The sequence below is a fragment of the Homo sapiens genome, chromosome 7, assembly GCF_000001405.40.
Source record: "Homo sapiens chromosome 7, GRCh38.p14 Primary Assembly".
Lineage (NCBI taxonomy): Eukaryota > Metazoa > Chordata > Mammalia > Primates > Hominidae > Homo > Homo sapiens.
In genome coordinates this window covers 30,162,853-30,185,306 of record NC_000007.14, presented here as the reverse complement: position 1 = coordinate 30,185,306, position 22,454 = coordinate 30,162,853, and the positions used below count along the sequence as shown (strand labels likewise).

At 45.2% G+C, this 22,454-nt stretch overlaps 1 long non-coding RNA gene and 1 pseudogene across 1 annotated transcript, besides 7 other annotated features; one reads left to right on the top strand and one right to left on the bottom strand.

Moving 5' to 3' along the window:
* Nucleotides 1-168: 168 nt before the first annotated feature.
* LOC105375217 (uncharacterized) lies at nucleotides 169-8,918 on the top strand. Its single transcript, XR_927147.4, has 2 exons — nucleotides 169-6,370; nucleotides 8,325-8,918. It is a non-coding gene; the product is annotated as an uncharacterized LOC105375217 (long non-coding RNA).
* Nucleotides 6,084-6,133: an enhancer, noted in NCBI's record as "active region_25807". NCBI's record gives its function as "activates an Ori minimal core promoter by ATAC-STARR-seq in GM12878 lymphoblastoid cells {active_cell/tissue: GM12878}" and the evidence as "EXISTENCE:reporter gene assay evidence [ECO:0000049][PMID:35858748]".
* Nucleotides 8,567-8,626: a silencer, noted in NCBI's record as "silent region_18059". NCBI's record gives its function as "represses an Ori minimal core promoter by ATAC-STARR-seq in GM12878 lymphoblastoid cells {active_cell/tissue: GM12878}" and the evidence as "EXISTENCE:reporter gene assay evidence [ECO:0000049][PMID:35858748]".
* Nucleotides 8,717-8,776: an enhancer, noted in NCBI's record as "active region_25806". NCBI's record gives its function as "activates an Ori minimal core promoter by ATAC-STARR-seq in GM12878 lymphoblastoid cells {active_cell/tissue: GM12878}" and the evidence as "EXISTENCE:reporter gene assay evidence [ECO:0000049][PMID:35858748]".
* Nucleotides 15,399-16,598: an enhancer, noted in NCBI's record as "P300/CBP strongly-dependent group 1 enhancer chr7:30208325-30209524 (GRCh37/hg19 assembly coordinates)". NCBI's record gives its function as "activates an origin of replication core promoter dependent on BRD2, BRD4, P300/CBP, MED14 and CDK7 cofactors, with strong dependence on P300/CBP, by STARR-seq in HCT116 cells {active_cell/tissue: HCT116}" and the evidence as "EXISTENCE:reporter gene assay evidence [ECO:0000049][PMID:35650434]".
* Nucleotides 15,399-16,746: a biological region, named in NCBI's record as "P300/CBP strongly-dependent group 1 enhancer GRCh37_chr7:30208325-30209524".
* Nucleotides 15,921-16,746: an enhancer, noted in NCBI's record as "OCT4-NANOG-H3K27ac-H3K4me1 hESC enhancer chr7:30208177-30209002 (GRCh37/hg19 assembly coordinates)". NCBI's record gives its function as "activates a minimal SCP1, AML or CMV promoter by ChIP-STARR-seq in naive and primed H9 embryonic stem cells {active_cell/tissue: H9 hESC(naive and primed)}" and the evidence as "EXISTENCE:reporter gene assay evidence [ECO:0000049][PMID:30033119]".
* Nucleotides 17,303-17,479, bottom strand: RPS27P16 (ribosomal protein S27 pseudogene 16; annotated as a pseudogene).
* Nucleotides 21,799-21,858: a silencer, noted in NCBI's record as "silent region_18058". NCBI's record gives its function as "represses an Ori minimal core promoter by ATAC-STARR-seq in GM12878 lymphoblastoid cells {active_cell/tissue: GM12878}" and the evidence as "EXISTENCE:reporter gene assay evidence [ECO:0000049][PMID:35858748]".

The following is a 22,454-nucleotide window of genomic DNA, read 5'->3' as shown; positions in this document are numbered from 1 at the left end:
GGAATTGAAACTCAAAGAGGGCAAGGATGCCTGCCTCCACTGGGAACTGATACTTTGTTATGCAAGAATCTACTGTAGTTTATGCTGTTTGGGGGAAGGGTTTGACAAATTACTTGATTTGTCATTTCTGTTTTCTGAGTACTTATGCCGCTCAAATTCTCCAGACCCAAGGCCTTGCTGGCCCAAGTGAACAATGGCAGAAGTCCCAAACCTTCCTGGCACCCAGAGGTAGTCTCTTTGGTCTCAAGGACACAAGGCAGATGTGATCTGGGGCCTGAGGCCTGAGGAGTACTGGTCACAACAGTGGCTATTCAAGGACATGAGTCACACTCTTCTAGTGCCAATCACCAAATAGAACAGCCATGTGTTCTTTAACACATTTATTTTTGTGTGGTTTGCGATACTGGGGCCTTCTAAAGCAGGAGTTGGCAAACTTTTTCTGTAAAGGGCCAGATTGTACATGTTTTTAGCATTGTGGTCCATAGGGTTTCTATTGCAACCATTCAGTTCTGCTGTTGTAGTGCAAAAGCAGCCAAAGACAGCTTGTAAATGAATGAGGGTGACGGCGTTTTAATAGAACTTTATTAACCAAAGCAGGCCAGATTTGGTCCAGTTGGTTGGCCCTTGTTGTAACTAACACACAAGACCTTTGGTGGGGGTCTCTCTTGCTTGTATCTAAACACAGTTCTGACTTTTTCATTTTTATAATTCTGTAATCTAAAGGATGAGATCCAAAAGAAATAGAAAACCTTTATGTTCCTCAGCTAAACTTCACCCAGTTTTTCATAGCTGTGATGAGAATGCTAGTCTTCCTAGTTGTGTGACCTTGGGAAGTTACTTAAATCCTCTCACCTTCAGTCTCCTCATTTGTGAATGGTCTACTTGCTCTATCTAGCTCCCTCAGGAGATTGTTGAGAAAGTAAAAATAACATCATGATGATGAAGATAATGATGATGGTGATGATAATGCTTCTCATTTGCAAAGTGCTTTTTAGTTTTCCATTTAACCTTTATAAGAATCTTATGAGATAGTATCAACCCCATTTTCAAATGTGTGGAAACAGGCACAGAGAGCGTTAATAGCTTGTTGAGAACTACCAACTGGTAACCAGCAAAACAGGTCTCAAAACCAGGGCTCTTGAATCCCAGTGTCAGGCCACTTTTATTTCAACTATGCAGAGTCTTTATGTAAAATATGAAGTACTATGTAAACCCAGTCCTTTTTGAAACACTATTTTATGCATCTTGGACGTGGGACACATTGGACTATAATTGTCCTAATATTTAAACTTTACCATAGACATTCTTTCAAAATGCCTGTGACACATTTGAGTCATTACTGAACAAACACTATTTATCCCTGTATCTTGGGTTACGCTGATAGGAACAGAAAACATGCCAGCTTTATTAATTTCTTCCCATATGGGCTTTTTCATTTGGCTGCCAATGAGCGAGCTCATTGCCAACTCAGCAGTGAGTTACATTAACATGGATTCCTCTATTATCTTGTCCAAAAAATGGCTCTCACCTGTACAGGTGCAACATGTACTTTAAGGAGGACACTTAGGAAGCTCTCCTGTGTTTGACAGGGCTCAGTGGTTAGACTTGATACTGCATCATGTGTTCACCATGGCTGTTTACTAAATGGTGAAAATTTTGCTATTGTAGATTCTAAATCAAAGTTGAATCTCTTTCATTTTGGTGGGATTACAATTTGTCAAATAGCTCTTGTGTTATGGTTTGGATCTGTGTCCCCACCCAAATCTCCTGCTGAATTGCAATCCCCAATGTTGGAGGAGGGGCCTGATGGGAGGTGATCGGGTCATGGGGGTGGTTTTTCGTGATTTAACACCGTCCTCCCCTTGGTACTGTCCTCCTGACGGTCAGTTCTCATGGGATCTGGTTGTTTAGAAGTGGGTAGCACATCCCCTCTCTCTCTCTTGCTCCTGCTCCAATATGTAAGACGTGCCTGCTTCCCCTTCACCTTCCACTATGATTGTAAGTTTCCTGAGGCCTCCCCAGAAGCAGAAGCAGCTATGCTTCCTATACAGCTTATAGAACCATGAGCCAGTTAAACCTTTTTTCTTTATAAATTACCCAAGCTCAGGTGTCTCTTTATAGCAGTGTGAGAACAAACTAATACATCTTGACACTGGACTGTTTGACATTTAAGGTTTGGAAATGTTTTCTATTTTTTTGTTTGTACAATAAAGGACATAATAAGAGTAGTGTCCATGACTAATTAAAAATGCGATTCTGACTGGCTCAACCCCATGAGCTCTATGCTTCCTTATATTTTCACGTAACTGTTCTCTCACAATGCTGCTTTTTGTCACATGATTCTACAATATTAATCTCATAAAGCTGTGCTGCCTAACATGGTAGTCACAGATCACACATGGCTATTGAAATTTAAATCAGTTAAATGTGAAAAGTCACTTCCTCTAGCCAAATCTGAAGAGCTCAATAGCTATATGCAGCAAGACACTAAACTGTATTGGGTAGCACAGATATAGAAATTTCTATTATTCGAGAATGTTCTATTGGATGGCACTGTACAATGGATTTAGAAACTAAGACTGACCCACTTACTTTCTTCTTTTAAACCACCCATACTAAGATCAAGACTCCCAGCAACAACAGGTACCATTACATGTCATGTGCCACGCACTGAACTAAGCCCTTAGTGTATATTATCTCATCAAATCTTTGTAATAAGCTCATGTTATCATTAAGATTTATTTAGAACTCGAAGCTCACATAGTAAGAGGCAAATTTGAACTTTGAACCCAGGTCTTTCTGGCTCCAAATCCTAAGCTCTTCAACAGTCAGCTATACCAACTCCTCCTTCTTCTCCTCCTCCTCCCCCACTAACTCTGATGTAGGCCTGGCCAGGCAATCAGGGATAACGCCAAGGCTAAATGCCATGCTGTACCCTGCCAAAAGCAAGGGCAGAGCTGGGCACGAGTAGGCAGCTTGAATCATCTTGGTGGGGGTAATTCAGTCCCATCTAATTTTGGGACAAAATGAAAGCTGTGTTCTTCATAACAAATGACTGAGACTTTTCACAAACTGGATAATTTTCCAGTGGAAATACCCAAATAAGAGTAATCACTAGTAGATCTGTTAAGATTGGTGAGTAAAATTTGACATTAACCAAAAGAACTGAATGCATTGGCTTATTATTATTATTCTCTTCATTCTTTTCTTTTTGAAAGTGCTGATTTCATTCCACACATCCCATGTGCCAGCTATTATTACATTTCTGTGTTTCAAAAATTTTCTCTGGGCCAATTCGGAGAAGGCTGGCTCCTGCCCCTCATTCAAAGCAAACAGCCCGTATGTCTCCCTAAATGTTGAGCTTTTACTTTGAAGCTTAAATTTAGTCTTGTTTTTTAATGTAAACAAATCTGCAGATTAGATGGCAGAAATGTGTGTCTCTAGGAGACAGCCTATAGTGTTTCTTTAGCTCGTTGTGAAAACTCCATGTTTCGCACCGATCATGGATTTCTTACTACAGTCTTTCTATTCTTCCCTCCCTTTTTCTTTCCTTTTTCCTTCACATGTGCTATGGTTTGGATATAGTTTGTCCTCACCAAAAGTGATGTTGACATTTGATTCCCAGTGGGGTAGTGTTGGGAGGTGAGGCCTAGCAGGAGGTGTTTGGGTCATGGGGGCAGATGCCTTACAAATACCTTGGTGCTGTAACTGCAGTAGACAGTGAAATCTCATTCTGGGAAGGCTGGATCAGGAAAGGGATTCGTTCCTACAAGAGTGCATTGGTATCAAGCCAGGACACCCCTTGGATTTTGCCCCTTGGCGCATTTCCGCTTCCCCTTTGACCTTCCGCCATGTTGTGACGCAGCATGAAAGCCCTCACCAGCAGCTGAGCAGATGCCAGCTCTCTGTGTAAATCATCCAGTCTCAAGTATTCTCTTACAGTAACACAAAGCAGACTAAGACAACACGGTTCCCTGAAACTTAGCTTCTCAGTTGTCTCCATTAGCACTTTTTAATAGGTCATAACTTTGCCAGAGTAAGTAAATCCAACTTGGAACAAGTCAGACTGAGGATTTTCCCCAAAATGAGTTTCCATAGAAATCATGGTAAGCCCATGAAAGAAAATTTCCTTGGAATTAAACAAAAATGCCATACAATTGTCAGGATCTAATTCAGCCTCATCAAACTTCATCTAAAAGCAACGGTGCTGGATGGCAGAATGGAGAACTGTGTGACCTCCCTCCCAGGACCATGGTTCTCTTGAACCTGAATATGTTATTTCAGATCCAATCATTAGACCATTTATTAAATATCCATCTGGCATATCAGACACACTGGGTAATTAGCAGTGATGAGTAAGAATACAAGAGCAGACCAATTATAAAACCTCCTCCTATTAGTCATATGGTTACCAATTATCACACGCAAGCCAAATCCTGTCCATAGTCAACATTCAAAAAATAAAATCTATTAACAAGGCAGGCTTTTAAGTTCATGATGTCAGGATTGTGCTGAACTGCACACATCAGAATGGAAATACATTAGGTCAACAGATAGAGTGAAAAATACAAGATAATAAGATCCAGAAGAGTCAGAACCAAAAGAGCTGGGACCTGACAGAACCATGTGGCCAAAGCTGAATGTCAAGATTTCACGACTTGGGCAAAATTGTTACTAAGCTTAATATTGTTGCTTTGAGGGGTCTGTAAGCTTTGAGGGTCATGAACCCTGTCTACTTTTACTCTCCCTCATATCTTCAGCACCAAACAGCCCCCACCTTATAGTACATATTCAATAAGCATTTTATAAACTAGTGACTACATGAATAATGAATAAAGTGAAATTTGTCTTTTTGACCAGCTTTTCTATCTTTTGTCACAAGCACTGTCTCTCTTGGTCAAATTCTTGAGATACCTTGCAGACTATGATAAGCAATGGCCTGTTACTCAAACCTTCCTGATTTGTTTGGTTGTTCTATTCTTCATCAAACCTCAACTACCTTAGAACCCTTTCTCTCAGAGCCAGTTCATTACATGAACTTATTTATGCTGGTTAATGAATGCAAATAAGTGGACCTATTCCTTATAATAGGCTTCCATTTTAACATTTTAACATCATGGTTAGGAGTGAGGACTTTGGAGTCAGACCTGGGTTGGAATCTGCCACTTAGTAACTAAGACCTGGAGCAAGTTACTTAGACTTTTAGTTTCCTCATCTGTAAAAGGATGTAAATAGTTCAATACCTATCTCATCGTGTGGTTATGAGCATTAAAAGCAGTCTCCACGTAGAATGCTTAGCACTTAGCTCACAGTAAATCATCAGTTCTCAGAGTGTCTTCCCACACTCCAGCATCACCATCACTAGTTAGTTATGTGTTAGAAATGCAGATTCTCGGCTCCACGCTAGCTTTTGAATCAGAAACTCTGGGGGTGAGGTCCATTAATCTGTGTTTTAATCAGGTTTCCAGGTGATTCTGATGTAAGCTAAAGCTTGAGAACCACTGTAGTAAATGTTAGCTGTAGTAATAATAATAATAATAAATTATAGCTAGCATTTATGTTATAATAATGTGTTGATATTGTTACTAATTTGACAGAGACCATCTAGAATACTACTTTAGTTGAGTTGTGTTCCATCCAAGTTCTGGGAAGCCTGGGGGCTCATGGAGTTATATTGGAGGCCACTGCAAAATGAGGAGGGGCAAATCACAAAGAGAGATCTAGGTTGTCCCCAGCCCTGCTTTGACAAGTGAGCTCAGCTTTATCAGTTTTATATACTTCCGTTCCGTTCCATTCCATGTTAAGTTTGCTTGACAAAAGAGTTCTGCTCTGAGATAAATCTTGAAAATCACTGCCTTCCCCAAAGTGCCAATGGGAATTGGACTGGACTATGAGAGGGAAACAGGGGACCAGAAGATTTTCCTGGGCTGCTCCCCACAAAGGATGATTAACGCCAGCCCTGCATTCAGATCCAAACTCCACAAACAGTCTCTGGGAATTGTGCTGGGCACGGTGCCTTTTGTCAGACATCATATTATTCAGTCCTTACAAGGTGTTACTTCCCCTTCTTTTCAGATGAGAAAATGAAAGTGAAAAGAAGTTAAGTAACTTGTCCAAGGTCACACAGCTAGTGGAGCTGGGACTAGAGACAGATCACATGATTCTGAGATTTGTTCTCATTCTCCAGGAATGGCTGCTGGTCATCCTGAGTGGCTAACAACACCCCCAGGGAAATCAACCCTAGGGTGCTGGACGGACTCTGCAGAGATGTCAGATCCCACTTTTGGACTAATGGACAGCAGGCAGCTGGCTTCTGCTCCACCATTTGCTCAGCACCAAGGCCTGGGACAACTTATTGGTTCCTTACAAAGTGAGTCATGGTCACAAAGAATTAGAAAGTCCTCAGATTTTGGAGTTCAGAGGGGCTTTTCTCTATGGGCAAGTCAGTCAGGCTAGGAAGATGGTCTCAATACACTAGATATGTAGGAGTAGGGAGCTATGAGTACAAGAATCCAAATGCCAACCCTGTAGCCATGCCAACCTATAACCAGATTTATTGCATGGTTTTAGGCAAGTCAAGTTTAGTCCTTTACACCTTGGTCAAAGGCCTAAGTAAATGGTCAAACCTTTTACTTGCCATCCTAGGTGAACTTTGTTTTTTTGTGGGGTTTTTTTTTTTTTTTTTTTTTTTTTTTTAGAGTTAGAGTCCTGCTCTGTTGCCCAGGCTGGAGCAGTCATGTGATCATAGCTCACTGCATCCTTGAACTCCTGGGCTCAAGCGATTTCCCCCCACCTCAGCCTCCTGGCTAGCTAGGACTGCAGGTACAACTGCCATGTCTGGATAATTTTTCATATTTCTTTGGTAGAGACGGAGACTTGCTTTGTGGCCCAGTCTGATCTTGAACTCCTGGACTCAAGCGATCCTCCCACCTCTGCCTCCCAAAGTGCTGGGATTAGAGGCATGAGCCATTATGCCTGGCCCCAAGGTGAACTTTAAAACCAAATTAAATAATATTGAGAGATCTTTAAGCTCCTTGGAAAGTTGCACCAGATAAATATTTTTGTCATTAACTGCAGTATTACTTATTCACTTATTAGCTCATTGCAGAAACGTTTATTAAGCACTTTCCATGTGCCAGGCATTATGCCAGGTACTGGGGATATAAGGGTGAACAAGACAGCTGTGGTTTTAGCCTTCTAAGAGCCTATGATTTGGTGGGAGCGGGAATCTTCGGGAATGGTCTGTCCTGTGCTGATTACACAGAAGTGCTATTAAGTATTTATTATGTTTTAGGCACAGTGCTAAGTGCCACACACAAATTAGTATTTCACTTTCTTCTCACACTGATCCTTTGAGGTAGGAAAAATGATGTCCACATTACAGAAAAGGAAACTGGGACTCAGAAAGTTAGAGTAACCTGCCAAAGTAAAGTTCACTGTTACTAAATGACGAGATCTAATTTTAAAACCATGCTGTTAGCCTCTATGTTATAGGTATTTATGTACATACATACCCATGTATAAGGAATATGTTTTTCAGTGCTTTAGAAGGATATATATGGCCTTTAGTAAGTTTTCAATAAATATTAATTAAATCAATATACAGTTTGGGGTCGAGCTAGAGATAGAAAGTCCCAGTTGAGGAGATGAATCGGGGTGCTCCTGGGAACTGGAGTAACTCTTCTGAGGAGCACTGAAAAGAGAGTCTACTCAGTGGCAGGCTGAGAAACAGGCTTGGGAGAAGAGGGGTGCCCGAGACTGAAGCTGGGTTGCCGAGAAGCCACAACACTGGAATCATCCCTGCGAGAAGTTTTCAGGGAGCAGTGGTGGCAGAGATGGGGCGAGAAGGCTGACACCTGCCATCTTTCCCAGCTGTCACTGCAGGGCACTTGGTTGATCAGGGACTGGGCTGTCTCCACTCAAAGGACTTGGGAGAAGGCAACTCACACAGAAGGCTGGTGAGGTGGTGGCTGGCTCTCTCCTGCTCCTCTGGCCCGCCTCCTTCCCTGCAGTGGCAGTGTTACATACATGGACAGTTTGCAGGTCTGGGTAGAGAGAGATGATTTACCTGTGGTCTCTGGGGTGCAGGACTGGTTTGAAAGGTGACAGGCATTTTTATCAGCTGCTTTTATAGACAGAACACTGTTCCTCCATTTATCACTTCAGCTTCTCAGCTTTAAATTGCATTCCGTTTTGGAAACCCATGCTAATTTGCAAGTCCCACTTTTCTATTGTTAAAACCAGATTACTCAACTTCCCTGGCTAAAAGAGTACTTAGTAGAGTCACATGAAGAAAGAACTATCATCGTTCCCTTTTTGTTCAGGCCACAGCAGAGCACAATCATGGAGGATCCAGGATTGCATAGAAGGAAGCAGCCAAGCATTGGAGGTCGACATGCCTGTGCCCAAATCCCACGTGTTATGTCCTGTGTGGGTTGACACTGGGATGGCTGGTGACCTGCTCCTTGTGTTCACACCCTGTGTAGTGGGGGTGCCTCCCAAGTGTGGGCTGGCCTAGCAACTTGCTTCTAACCAAAGGTGACAGGGTGTCACTTCTAAGATTAGGTTTCAAGAGATTGTAGCCTCCCTTACAAGCAGATTCTTTATTGCCTTCTCGGGTCACACACATTGATAAAGTAAGCAGGCCCATGTGGCAAGGAACTGACAGTGACCTCCAGCCAACAGCTGGCAGGAACTGAGGCCCTTGGTCTAACTGCTCAGATGGAACTGAATTCTGTCAACTGCGGAATGCCTTAGAGGCAGGTCCTTGCCCGGCTGAGCTTCCAGATGAGCCCCCAGCCCTAGCTGACACCTGGACTGCAGCCTCATAAGAGACCCTGAAGCAGAGGATTCTGCAGAGACACACCCAGATTCCTGAGGCACAGAAACTGTGAGATAATAAATGTGTTTTTGCTGTTGTTGTTGTATTTTCTTTTTCTTACCCTGTTGCCCAGGCTGTAGTGCGGTGGCAATCATAGCTCACTGCAGCCTCAAGCTCCTAGGCTCAAGCCTCAGCCTCCAGAGTAGCTGGGACTATAGGCACATGCCCGGCTAATTTTTTAAAATTTTTTGTAGAGATGGGGTGTTGCTATATTGCTCAGGCTGGTCTTGAACTCCTAGCCTCAAGTGATCTTCCTGCCCTGGCCTCCCAAACTGTCAGGATTACAGGCATGAGCTACGTTACTCGGCTCCAGTATGGGCTGTTTCAAGTTGCTAAGTTTATGGTAGTTTGCTAGACTCTAGTGGAAGATAAGACACTTCCCACCACACAACACTCAGTTTTCTCATCTGTCAAGAGGGCAGGATAATAGTAAAAGTGATGCTAATAATATATCTGCCTCTTGGGAATTAAATGAGCAACTGTGTGAAAGACTATACACATGTTGCAGTTGTCCTGGGTTGGAGCTTGAAGAATAGAGTGAGGGATGGGCGGAGTTACTCAGGAGTTGGCAGGGCTTCTCTGCAGCCATGAAGCTTGCAGAAGGGGGATTCAGACAGGACGTCAACGGAAGGCGAAGTTGGGAAACCCAGAGACCACCAAAGCAGTTCAGCCAGACCAAGCTGGACATTCAAAGGAAAAGCAAGGAGCAGTGCTAAAAATAAGACACAAGGAGTTTTTTATAGGTGCCAGTGATACCGGTGTGTAGGAAGAATCAGTTAGGACCCTATAGTTGTTTAGATTCGTAGCAGAAACTGATTTGTGTTAAAGACATTGGAATCCAGGGCTTGGGTGCCCACACACTTGGCTCTGGGCCCCACCCTATCTTATTAATGGGACTCTCCTCCTCATGCCCATACATCCTAGGGGACTTGTCTTCAAATGTGGTTCTCCAACCCGGATCTCCTTTCCAAACTGCAAACTCTTCAATCCATCTGCCTGCTCAGCATCTCCACTTAAGATTCTAATGGGCGCCTGACATTTAACACGTCCAAATCTGAATGCCTGGTATTTCCTGTGCACTCTGCTCCAGCTGCAGCCTTCCCCAATTCAGTCTAGTTCTGACAGCTTTACAAGAAACTGGGATGATAGAGGACAACAATAACCTTACAGTGTATATTGTAAAAAATGCAAAAATACAGATGTAAGTATATAGAGTACAGATGGTCTTACAATAGTTCAACTTATGATTTTTTCGACTTTAAAATGGTGCAAAAGCAATGCACGTCTCTGAATTCTGAATTTTGATCTTTTCCCGGGCTAGCGCTATGTGGTAAGATTTCAGCTGCCAAGTCAGCCACGCGATCATGAGGGTAAACAAGTGACACCTTACAGTGTGCTGTATTCGATAAATTACATGAGCTATTCAGCACTTTATTACAAAATAGCCTTTGTGTGAGATGATGTTGCCCAGGAGTAGGTTAATGTAAGTGTTCTGAGCATGTTTAAGGTAGGCTGGGCTAAGCTATGATGTTTGGCAGGTTGGTTAAATGCATTGTGACTTATGACATTTTTGCTTATGAAGTTGAGGGGCATCTGTATATGGAGTAAAAAATGAAAGTCTCCCTCCCTCCCTCCGACTGTCCTCACCCAGAGGTAACCACTGTGCACAGTGGAAAGTGCAGCCTCCTGGACCTTTTCCATGGCCTTACTTAGAAAAACGAAAATATACATTTTTTAATATAATGTGATTGGCCTACGTGTATTGTTCCCCTGATATATTCTTTCCAGATAACCATGTATATTGGAGTTGTTCCCATTTCAGAACCTGTAGCTCTACCTGCAATTACATGCTCATGACTTGGGCTTTCTGCTATTCTTTCCTTTTTCTTTTTCTGTCCTTTTATTTAAGATTACCAGCAATTTTACACTGACCACTATATCCATAACATGCAATTATTTCTCCAGGATAGATTTTGAGAAGTGGGATTGTGAAGTCAAAGGGTTTGCACATAAAATCTTTATAGAGACTGAGAAATGATCTTTTAATGTGACCGAGCCAATTTACGTTCCCACCAATAGTGTGTGCCAACGCCTCCGTGCCAGTGCTGGGCATTATCAATCTTGTAACATTTGCCAGGAATGAGGCCTTATTTTAATTTGCAGTTCTCTAACAGCTAGAGAGCTTGAACACATTTTCATATATTTATTGTCCACTTGTATTTTTTATTCTATGAATTGCCTCTCTGTGTCCTTGGTTCATTTTCTTATCGGGTTATTTAATCCCAAATTACTAGTGGAAAATCTGAGGACTGGACAAATTGAATTAACTAGCTCAGAGCCCCACAGCTAGCAAGTGGTGGAGCTGGGACTAAGGCTGGCTCTGTATTTCTCTACAGTGTACACTCAACCACCAGGCTGGTTACTCTGTCTTCTCAGGTATAGCCAGAGTTAACTAATGAATGGGAACCTAAAGGCTGCCTAAAGAAGCTAGTATCACTCACCCACAGAGGGGTAGCCCTTCCTGCATTTACCTGAGACAGCCCAGCTCTCTGTTGCAGCTCTCTCGTGGGTTTTGGGTGCCACCAGCTAGGCCTCGGGAAATGGGAGGATTCCAGGGGAGGCTGGGTCTTCAGGAAGGAAAGGCCTCCCCATCAGACCTCCTGGCCAGCCACTGTGACTGTGCCCTGCAATGGCCCTGGCTGCCCGTTCTACTGCCTTTTGTGGTTACATTCCCCTAACGACTCAGGCAGCCACTGCTAAATTACCACCTATGGCTTGTGGCCATTTCCTTACTAAGCCAACTGAAGCAAGACGGTCCTGGCCTCTTGGTGCAATTCATTTTCCAAAATCCAAACCTAAAACTCCGGACTGCTCCCTGGGTTTGGCAGAGCTCAGCTGTAAACGAGGAGAGGGAACGTACAGGCAGCTGCTGCTACTGTCAACTCATCTGACATCATGCCAGGGCCGCTCTACCATTGTGTGCGACAGAACAATGCCTTCTCTGGCAGAGGAGGCTTGCAGTCTTGCCCCTTGGTGTCTGTCAGGGACTTGGCCGACTTCTCAGCAGGCCAAGAGTGCTGTGTGTGGCCCAGGAATGCCTTCTCTATAAATAGAAGTCATTTGCTGTGCTTCCAATGGGCTGGCAGCCTGAACAGCATCAGCATCATGCTGTACATTCTGCACAGGCCCAGCTGTGGGCGCAATGGTGCAAGATAAATCCGGGAGAGGAGGTGGTGCTGTTAGCAGGCAGCTGTTCAAATCCCATAGCCTGGGGCCACCACAGACCAGCACTGGCAGCTGCAGCTAGCTTCACAGGGAGTCCAGGCAAGTCAGAGATTTTGTTTGCCTGGCAAGAAAATGAATTTGAATCATCACTCGAGACTCACTGACCCATCTTGGGCACAGATTCTAGTTGTCTGTGCACACGAGTTACAATGACTTGGGCTCCCTGAAGTTAACACACACCCTGCCAGGAGGAAGGACAAGTGGAATCTGGTCCCAGTCAGAACCCAGTCTGCCACCCAGACTCTAGGAAGGTGTCAGAGCTCTATTACAGTTCTCTCAAATCCAAATTCCCATTCCCATCTTTCAGAATAGCAAGGAAATGCCAATTTCCAATGGGGTTTGAAGCAGAAGGGTCAAGTCTATGGTTAGGGTGAACACACGTGGTCACTAAGGCCTGCCTGAACAGTCACCAGGGAGAAGGGCAGGCCTGCCAGTCAGTAGAGGGAGAATGTGTCACAGCAGTAATGAGAAGGGAGGTACGAACCCAGAAGTAGGAAAGGAACACCAATTAGAATGAAGTAACTGGAAAAGGAAAGCAGATGGAAGCGAAAAACAAATAGGGTTTTGTATTAGTCAGTTCTCACTGCTATGAATAAATACCTGAGACTGGGTAATGTATGAAGGAAAGAGATTTAATTGGCTCACAGTTCCACTTACTGGGGAGGCCTCAGGAAACTTAACAACCATGGCAGAAGGCAAAGGAAAGGCAGGCACCTTCTTCACAGGGCAGCAGGACAGAGTGAGTGCCAGCAGTGGAAATGCCAGATGCTTATAAAACCATCAGATCTCATGAGACTCACTTATCATGAGAACTGCACAGGGGGGCCGCCCCCATGATCCAATTACCTCCCCCTGGTCTCGCCCTTGGCACTTAAGGATTATGGGGATTATGGGAATTACAATTCAAGATGAAATTTTGGGTGGGGGACACAGCCAGACTATATGAGGTTCTGAAGGCACAGAGTCTCGAAGGCCAGCTGCACCAACCACTTCCATGGAGTCAGTGGCCCAGCGCCAGTGGACCGACCCCGGGAGATCTTCAGGAACCTGCCCTACTCCTTTGGGGATCATGAAATCGTGGTGCCTGATGGCAGATGATGAGGATTCATCAAAGATTCTTAGATAGTGTTTGAAAAAAAGCCTCATCATTCCAGGCTTCCGGTGACTCAGAGCAGTGAGCAGGAGCCTGGATGTCCACAGTTCTAGATGTGAAAACCTAGGTGACTTCATTAAAGAAATGCCACCCCAAGCTCCCACCTCTGCCTGGGAGGCACATGGAGCATTTTTCTGCCCCTAGGCCACCCCACTGGAATGGGGCAGTTTCGGAATCTTCCCAGAGATGGTGCAGAGGCAGGCAGCCTTGGAAAAGCTACACCAGTGACCTGAAAGTGCTCTTGTGCCTGGGACAGCCTCTACCTTAGGTTGGAAAGCAGGCGGGGACACAGCACATGTTCTTGCCTTCCCACTAGAATAGTCTAGGGCTGTGTCTGCTTCATGACTTTCCAATTGGCTGATGACACTTTCTGGATGGTCATCTAGGGATCATGGGGTGGGGGCACAGAGACCTGTACCATCCACCCCCTCCAGTTCCTATTCCCTGATATACCTGAGAATCTCAGAGACTTACCAACCACATGCCCCAATGTTGGAGACCTGAGGTCCAGGGAAGGGGCACAGGAGCTTGCATTTCAGATGCTCTGACTTCCAGCACCTGCCACTCAACACATGAATGAGAGTGCACTGATCTGAGAGTGAAGCAGCCTTCCCATGTCCCCCCAGAGAAAGAGTAACACTGCCTTTCATCTCCCCATGACCCATGCATTCATTCATTCGACAAAGGTTTCTAGAAGGCCAGGACTGTGCTAAACACTGGGGATTCTGTGAAGAACAGGACAAACAGAGCTTTGCCTTCATTAGGTTTATGATCCAGTGGATGGACTGACAAGAAACAAGCAAACAAAGAAATGAGTACAGAATGGCCTATTTAGATAATGACATCTGCCTTCTTCTGAAGTGTAATCCTCAACTGGCCAACCTGATGGCATAATTATATCATGAGAGTGCAGCGAATTTCTGGGAGTCCTCTGATTCAGTCTAGGCTCACTGTTCCCTTTGCAATACTTTCATCTCCTTCCTGTTGGGGCCAATAGATGTACCAAGGGTAGTGTCGTCATTTTTCTACGCAATCAAGCATGCAGCCAAATACAACTTGGCCTCTGCTCATTCATATCCCCTAAATGTCACAGAAGCAATGTGACATCCTATGATGAGAGACCATGCTTTGGAGTCAGGCACAACTAGCTGCCCCCAGCTCTGTCACCATGTGAGCTTAGAAGAGAGACTTTTTTTTCCCCAAGTTTTGAGATGTTAATGGAGATCACTGTGGCATCTGTACAAGGATTTTATTTTTATAGAATGAGATGTGTTAGGATCAGGAAGGAATTTTGCCCAGCTCCTGGCACCCAGTCACGTTGTGATGAATCTTGGCTCCCTGTAGACATAGTGAATGACATGGTGAGCCTGGAGGCCGGCTCAACCCAGAGTTTCTTAAAGTGTGGTCCATGAACCACCTACATGAGGACGGCCTGACATATTTGTAAACTGTAAACCTGGAGTATTTGTAAACTTGCAGCTTCCTGTGTCCAGATTCTGTCTCCAGATTCTGGAGCGCAGCCCAAGAATCTGCATGTTTCACAGCACCAACCCTCCGCTCTGGCCCCACCACCAGGTGATTCTTAGGAGCCTTAAAGTTTGAAACTTGCTGGCTTGATTGGTGGGCCAGGCTTTTGTTACCCTGAGGGTCAAGAAATCACTTTTTAATGGTCAACCCTAAGCAAAAGAGCTTTCATAGGTGTAGAGAGTCACCTCACCCACAGCCTCCTCACCAAAGTACTTCTGTGTGGGAAGGGAGACTTTCGGGACTTTAGCATTCCTCTGCCCTGGCTAAATCCCCTCCACTCAGCACCTTAGGGCCACCCAAAGGAATTACCCACCCTATTTCAGGGGGATGGCAAGACCCAGCTAATGTTGTTTCTGGACATATTGGTATGTCAGGAGGTTGGATCTGCCAGGAGCTTCCTTACAGGAGGACCCAAGGAGCCTCAGTGGGCAGAGCTCATCCTAAGAAAAACATGTCAAGCTCACAAACTGGGTTCATGGGTGACAATGGCAAGGCTGGATGAAAAGGAGATTCTGGCTCTGTTACTCAGAGCAATGTCCAACTGTTTGGACTCATGCCCCTTCGGTGAGTGGCTGGAATGAAAGATGAATAAAAATGGAGAGAGCTGTCACTGGGGCATCACTCATTGCTCATTGGTGTGGCACTCTCTGTGGTCACTGGCAACAGCACCCTGGACCACACACCCAGGTCCTCACTGCCTCATGCTGGCAGCCTCAGGGTAAACACTGGTGGGTAGTGGCAGGAAAGTGGGCTCCTCTGGTGGGTGACCTTGTGCCCCTCTGTGGGCTCTGGCAAACCCACTGCCATTATGGGGTTCTGCAGCATCAGAAGAGAGGCTGTGCACTAAAGCCAGGGAGAACACCCGGTGCCACAGAAGATGAACTTGGGAAGCACACGAGTCAGCCCCCTAGGACCACCTCCCGGAATATTTGGGAGGAATACGAGAAGGGCTGGGAATCCCCAAAGTACGCGTTACAGTCACAGAAATGTGAATTTGTGAGTTGATGTCACTCTCTTCTTACCCCCAGGCTGGTGTGGTTTCGGGAAGATGGATGATATCAGCAAATGTTCTGAGGTTGGGAAACAGGATTAGTCACCCGGCCCAAGAGGATGAATTCCCTAGTTTCTGTCTCCTTGGTGACATCACTGCTCCAAAGCGTACCATAAGATGGTGCCGGATGAAAAGTTCTATTTCTAGAGTTCTCATAAAAGTGCCATTATTTTGTTGATGGATTAAGAGGCCAAGGTCACTGTATTTCCCAGGAGCTTCCCTGTCCACTCCACATATGGAATGCTCTTCCTCAGCAGTGGGCAGGCAGGACTGTCCTCCAGGGAGACAAACTCCTAGCGGCAAGCAGCATACCCGGCTCGGTGTTTTACTTTTATCAAAATCCTGTCTGTAGTCACCAACACTAGCTTTCAGATTGAATTTTTCAAGAGCATGTGGCCAATTGTGTCTGTGTTCTTCCACAGTTTAGAGGTATGGGGTCAAATTAGGGTTTGAAAAGCACCCCAGGGAATATTCTTTCATGTGCTAAGCAAAGGCTTGGCCAGAGTTCTGAAGAGCCGAAACCCTGCGAATGGATTTGATGAGTTCATTAGCATCGAGCGAGATGACAGTTTTGGCTTGCTTCTGAATGACAGGTTTTTTTCAAAAGCTTGTGAGGTGAACATGGAGAAGATGCTTCCTACCCACCAGGGAGGCACTGGTTTGTGCTTCCAGAATCAAATCACTATCTCACTTAGCCTTGCTTGTAACCAATTACAGGAGCTATTTGGGAGCTGGCCAGGGTCGGAAACAGAGTCTTTGAAGGAAGGGGATATCAAGAGAGATCAGGATAACTTTAGCTGTACCATGAAGCATAACCCACTCCTCAGCCAAACCACCAGTTTTAGCCTGGGGATGCGAGATAGGCAGGAGAGTAGCAGACGATGGGAGAAAGCAGATCGGATCATGGCCCTTGTGAGGGTTTTGGTCAACTTTACATATACAGGACCAAAAGTAAGCGTGGCAAAGAATGGCTAAGCCATCTTCCACTGAGAAAACTTGGCCAGGTGAGCAACGTATGCTTCTACCCAAGTAAACTGGTTTGCCCGAGGCCCCTGGAGTGAAATCTCCACAAAACACCAAAGAAACAATCCATGTGCGTTGAGATGACTTCATTCATCCCTTTCCCTTTTTTGACTCCCTCTTCCTCACTCTCCCACACATCATCCTAACAGGAGGAAGGAAAAGGACTGCTTAAGCATCCAGGGTTCTCTCCAGCCAGAGCTGCCATGGAAAGCCAGCTGGCAAACAATGCGGGCTCAACAAGAGTCATTTTTCAGATGGGGATTTTTCTCTGAGTACAGTTTGAAAACTAAGGCCACTTGGAAATATGAAGGGCATGTTTTGTATTTCCCAGAATGTGTGTATGGGGATGGTATCTCATTCTTCTTCCCTTAGAGTGCTTTCTGTGCTGCTTCCTCCTACAGGAACGTCCTTCTGTGGGTCTTGCTTTTCCTCCTGTGCGCTGGCAGAGAGAGGATGGTGGCGCGGCCAACACACGTTTGTGACTGAAGACCATGGTGATTTTGTAGCATCCTGGGTATTTCACATCCATGAAGTAGGAACGGAGGCTCTGCCCTGGGTGCTGCTGCTTGGGTCTCCTTTTCTGGAGAGGGATGAAGACCTCGGCGAGAGGCATGTTCTTGTGGGGAGGTCATCGCTGCTGGGAAGGAGAGGACATGCTTCTTGTCTAGTAAAGGCCTTGATGACACCCCATATTAAATTCAGGGAATGAACCTCTTTATTACAAAGTGCTCCACATCAGGCAAGGTGGGAGAGGAGAGAAGGGGGGGAGCGTGGGGTCCGGTGGGACAGACAGACCCGGGCCAGCTCTCCCAGATGCATCTGATGAGGTGAAAGCATCCACCCAGAGTGGCATCACCCAGAGTGAGACTTGAGGGGGGACTGTACATTTCATGTCCTTTCCCGTTACTGGATTTACATTTCTGACTTTAGGGAATACTGAAGTAAAATTTTTAAATTCTGACTTTCCAGATCCATTCCAAAGTTGATTCTGCACAACAGTTTGTAGTTTTTTTTAGCCTCTTGTAGCCCCAGGCTCAAAATGCCCCCTAACATTCCTGAGTAGAAGAAACTAAACATCTAAATGACCAAAGTCATGCAGGAAGGCACGCATCAGATCCAGAAACCCAACATGCATTTACACATGACACTGCCTCCTCCTCTTTTCAAACCTGTGCAGCTCTATGCTCCTTATTTTTGTATTTCCAAAGGTTTGTTTTTGACTCACCTTTCCTGCGTTCCTTTCTCTCATCCGTGCATCATTTGGAAAACACAAAAGTGCTGCTCCTGAGGTTTAGCACCTTCTCCCTGTAGCCACTCACCAGCAAGCCCACTCTCCCATGGCAGGACCTGGAGCCTGTCATTCGGGAACCATGTGATAGCACTCAGAATCTTAGAAGCAAGAACAGCAGATTTGGAGTGCCTGCATTTCTTATGGGATACTGATCTGGCCAGCTTTTCTTTCCCATAGGAATGGAGAAAATCGTGGCAGAGATGATCCAAACAACCCGATGAGCTCAAAAGTGAATTGTGTTTGCCTTTGAAATGGGGTCTCAGATTTGCACTTATTCCTTCTGCACAATAGCACGACAGTCATCCAGCAGTGGCGGTGGTATTGAGGGTGTTTGTGCACGCTGCCTCTGCGTGGAGCAGGAAGGCAGGCTAGAAATGTATTTGGATGGCTGAGGGGTAGGGCCACAGACTGGAACCCTTGGTGTGGGATGGTGACTCAATGGCATGTTACCACACATCAGCAGACGAAGAGAGCTTTCTTCTTGCTCCCAGGCCTCCTCTTGACTAGACAATGCATTTCTGCTGCTGGTTGCTTCAAGGTAACTCTGAGTAAAAGCCCTTTCGCTATGAGGAGGGAGACACTTAGAGGAGTCTGTAACACCCTTGTAAAGAGCTCCTCAGGGAACAAGGTCTAGAAAGAAGGGTACAGAATGGAAAGCCAATTGGTTGTTTCCCCAGCCCTGCCCCCATCTGAGGATCCTGTTTTATAAACTTGTCGCCCCGGTTCTTCCAGTCACTTTCAAAAATCTTTGTAAGTACATGGATACCAGAAAAAAAATGTGTCTGCTATTATCCTAAACCACCCTGCGCGGCCAACCTGCCCACAGGCAAGGCAAATAGCTAGGGAAATGCTCTCTTCACTCCATCTGTTCCCAGGCAACCATGGATATTAGCAGCATGCACTGCGTGAAGTATACGGGCAGGCAGGGCCTCTGTGCTGTGGTGTGAAAAAAAATCATAGATTTCAGTAAATGTAAGACCAACACCCACGACATTCATTATTCAGCAGAGTAGTTAAGAGTTCTGAAACCAAACTGCCTGGGTCCAAATCCCAGCTCTGGCACTTACTAGCTGTGTGATCTTGTGAGAGTTACTTAGATTCTCTGTGCCTCAGTTTCCTCATCTGTAAAAAGAGAATATCAACCATAATATCTACCTTGTAGGATTGTTGGAGGGATTAAATGAGTTAAAAGAAACTTAGTACAGTGTGTGGCACTTAGCAAGGACTACATAAAAGTTTGTTACAAAAAAATTTTTATATGTAATAGCACACACAGGTGGGGCATATTTACTCAGCACTGTTGGCTTCATGACAAAACAACTGAAAAGTCATCAGAATCAGACTGTTCCATACTTGCAAAGAATACAGCCCATACTCACGAGGATCCAAACTCAGCATTTTGAAATCTAATAGTACTAGTGAAATCGCTGTTATGCCACTAAGTGCTAAGATGTTAAGACTGGGCTTCCATCGTGCCTGTGACATATTTGTTGTCCTTTCCACCAATGTATCTTCTCAGTGAGTGAAAGAACCTCAGGGTCCAAGGCTCATCTAATCACCCAGCAGAGTAATTGTCAATACTATTTGTGTTATGGGTCAAGCCTTCCTTAGTAGACAGGAACAGTAAACCCTGAACAGAAGGGGCAAGGGAAAGAGAAGGGAGGAAAGCCTTTGTATTGTTTCCCCTTCCTGTTCCTTGTTGGGCCAAAATGAAACCCCGGGGCAACACCAGGAGCCTCTGTGGCCTCCCAAGGCTGCCTGTCGTTTTGGACTTGAATTCCGGTGGTCTATGAAGCCTGTGGCCATCACTGCACAGTGCTCTTGGGTCTTGTACTTCGGGGATCCACAGGTATGTCTGCAAGTTTTTAGGGGCTCCCAACTATCTCAGTTCTGGCCAGACCTCCTGAAGATGCTCAAATCCTCCCCCAGCCCACCCCTGATCTGTGCAGGCTTCAGGGAGCCAGATATGGATTCTAGGTAGAAACCTGTGTTCCCTGATGTTCCACTGGAAGTTGCAGAGTTTAACAGGCTACGGGCTAACAAATATTTTGAAAGGCCTTGGAACACCCAGCATCCTCCCACCTTGCTCCAAGCAAAATGCAATGTGCCTTCCATCTCATCTTCGGCATTTCCCCAGCCCTTCTCAGCATGAGCTAAATGGCACACTTCATCGACCGGTCAATAAGTCATGTTTATCGAACTGACAGTGTGTGACGCAGGGGTGTGGGAGCTGCAAAGATGGGTGAGCAGGGAAAAAAACAACCCAGTCAAATGTTAGGGTTTATGTATAAAGAAGGCGGCTCTTCACTTCTCTTTCCCCAGCCTGGACATTCACCAACCCTCCTTTCCAAAAGCTCCACAAGGAGATGGGCATCATGATCACCCTGAACTCAAAAGCCCTTTCTTTATGTGGTGCTGACCTCTAGAGGCTTCTAATTAAAAAGCATCCGAAAGGGCCAACTTAATTTTACTGCTGGTTTTTACACTGTACATTGTTGCCCTATTTCCCAACAAAATAAGGATAAAATATGTTACTTTAAATGATCCCTAAAAAAATGCCTACCTTGTTCCTTGACTGCCTAATTAAAACTTGCCCAGATCATTACAAATGCCATTGTTTACTCCAAAAAGGAAAAAAGGAGGGTTAGAGATAGGGAAAGTACTTCAGTTTTTTGTTTTTTTTTTTTTTGCCTATTGTGGTCCTAAGAGGAAAGCACAGTGCCAGCTTTTTCAGGATGCATTTCTTGAGTTTCCAAAGGGCCAAGTCTGCTAAACAGAGACAGGAATGTTCATTCACTCTGATTTGGCAGGGCACAGGGCAAAACCACCCTGACACTCAGGTACACGGACAGCAAGTCCACTTTGTCCAGCCCCGGCGTGGCGTCCAAATGCTGGGTGGTGGGTCTGGTTCTGTTTATTTTGTTGTCCTTCAACCCAAACCTGTACACAAAGAACTCTATGACAATGGAGGATCCCACTCGGCCCAACTTCACTATGGAAACGAGGCTCATTTCTAAAGGGAGTGAGACTGTTGATTACATCCCTAAGCTGAACACCCCAATTTTACTTTGTTGTAGTTCTGACTCCTTATTACTTTCACGAAGGGAAGGAAGGTGTGGAAAGGCAGGAGAAAACACGCAGGGACATAAGCATTTGGGCTAACACACAGCCACGATATCAACTGGCGTCTTCAATTCTAAAAGGGATCCTAGGGGAAAGAGCTTCAGAATCCCAGGACAGTTTTGCCAATCCTGGCCGCCCCACCCTGGTTCTGTGAGTGTTTCCATTACAACTGTGCTTCATGTCCTCTCTACCGACTCCTGACTCCCCTAGACAAGTCAGGGCTAGTGCCCAAAGGGAACTCGGGGACAAGTCTCCCACTCTTTATTTTTACAGATGAGGAAACAAAGCCGGAAGTCGGTGGGGTGGGGAGGGGACATGCCTAGGGCCACAGTCAGCCCAGGAGGAGTCTGGGCTAGAACCTCTTGCCCTCAGCCACTGATTTCAGAATGATTACACGGGGGAAATGTGGGTATTTTTAACACCAGTGCCCGCACTTAAAGGGGCCAACCTGCATTTTATAAACTCTATCTGTGAGACGGATACAATAACTGTAACAAAGGAAGTCCATAAGTAAGACTTCGCCTGCCCCCGCTGCTGCACCACGAGCAGGGTTGGGACTGCTGACACAGAGCTCACCACTTGAGTACAATCTCTAACAGCCACATCGAAAACAAAGGACCACACACTATCTAACATACACACAAGCCTTTATGCTGTGCCTGTAAAGCAAAACTCAAATCTAATCGAATCTAATGGGTCTCTCTATGGAGACCCATTCATTTGGAGAAAGAAACTGGCTCTTAATCAAATAACAGAACTTACCATCAACTTCCAGATGAGTTATTTAAATGCCATGTTTGGTGAATAAATAACCGGGAGGAAGGTGGTGGAGACATGGTGTCATGTCATAGAATGACCACAGAATACAGATTTCTAATTAATGCCAAAAAGAATTCCTAAGTAGGCTAGAAAAAATAGGGTTCTCAAACACAAAACTAAAGTATTGGTTCAAAGAAGTAGAAAATTACTAACTACCAGTTATAGCATCACAATAGACATATGAATGCATCACACAGAAATGATTAATCTTTGAACAATGGCAGTGTTTCATGTTACCAGCTCCTCCCTCTCTTCCCCCAGCCTCCTCACAAACAGCAACCACACAGCGAGCTGCCGGTCC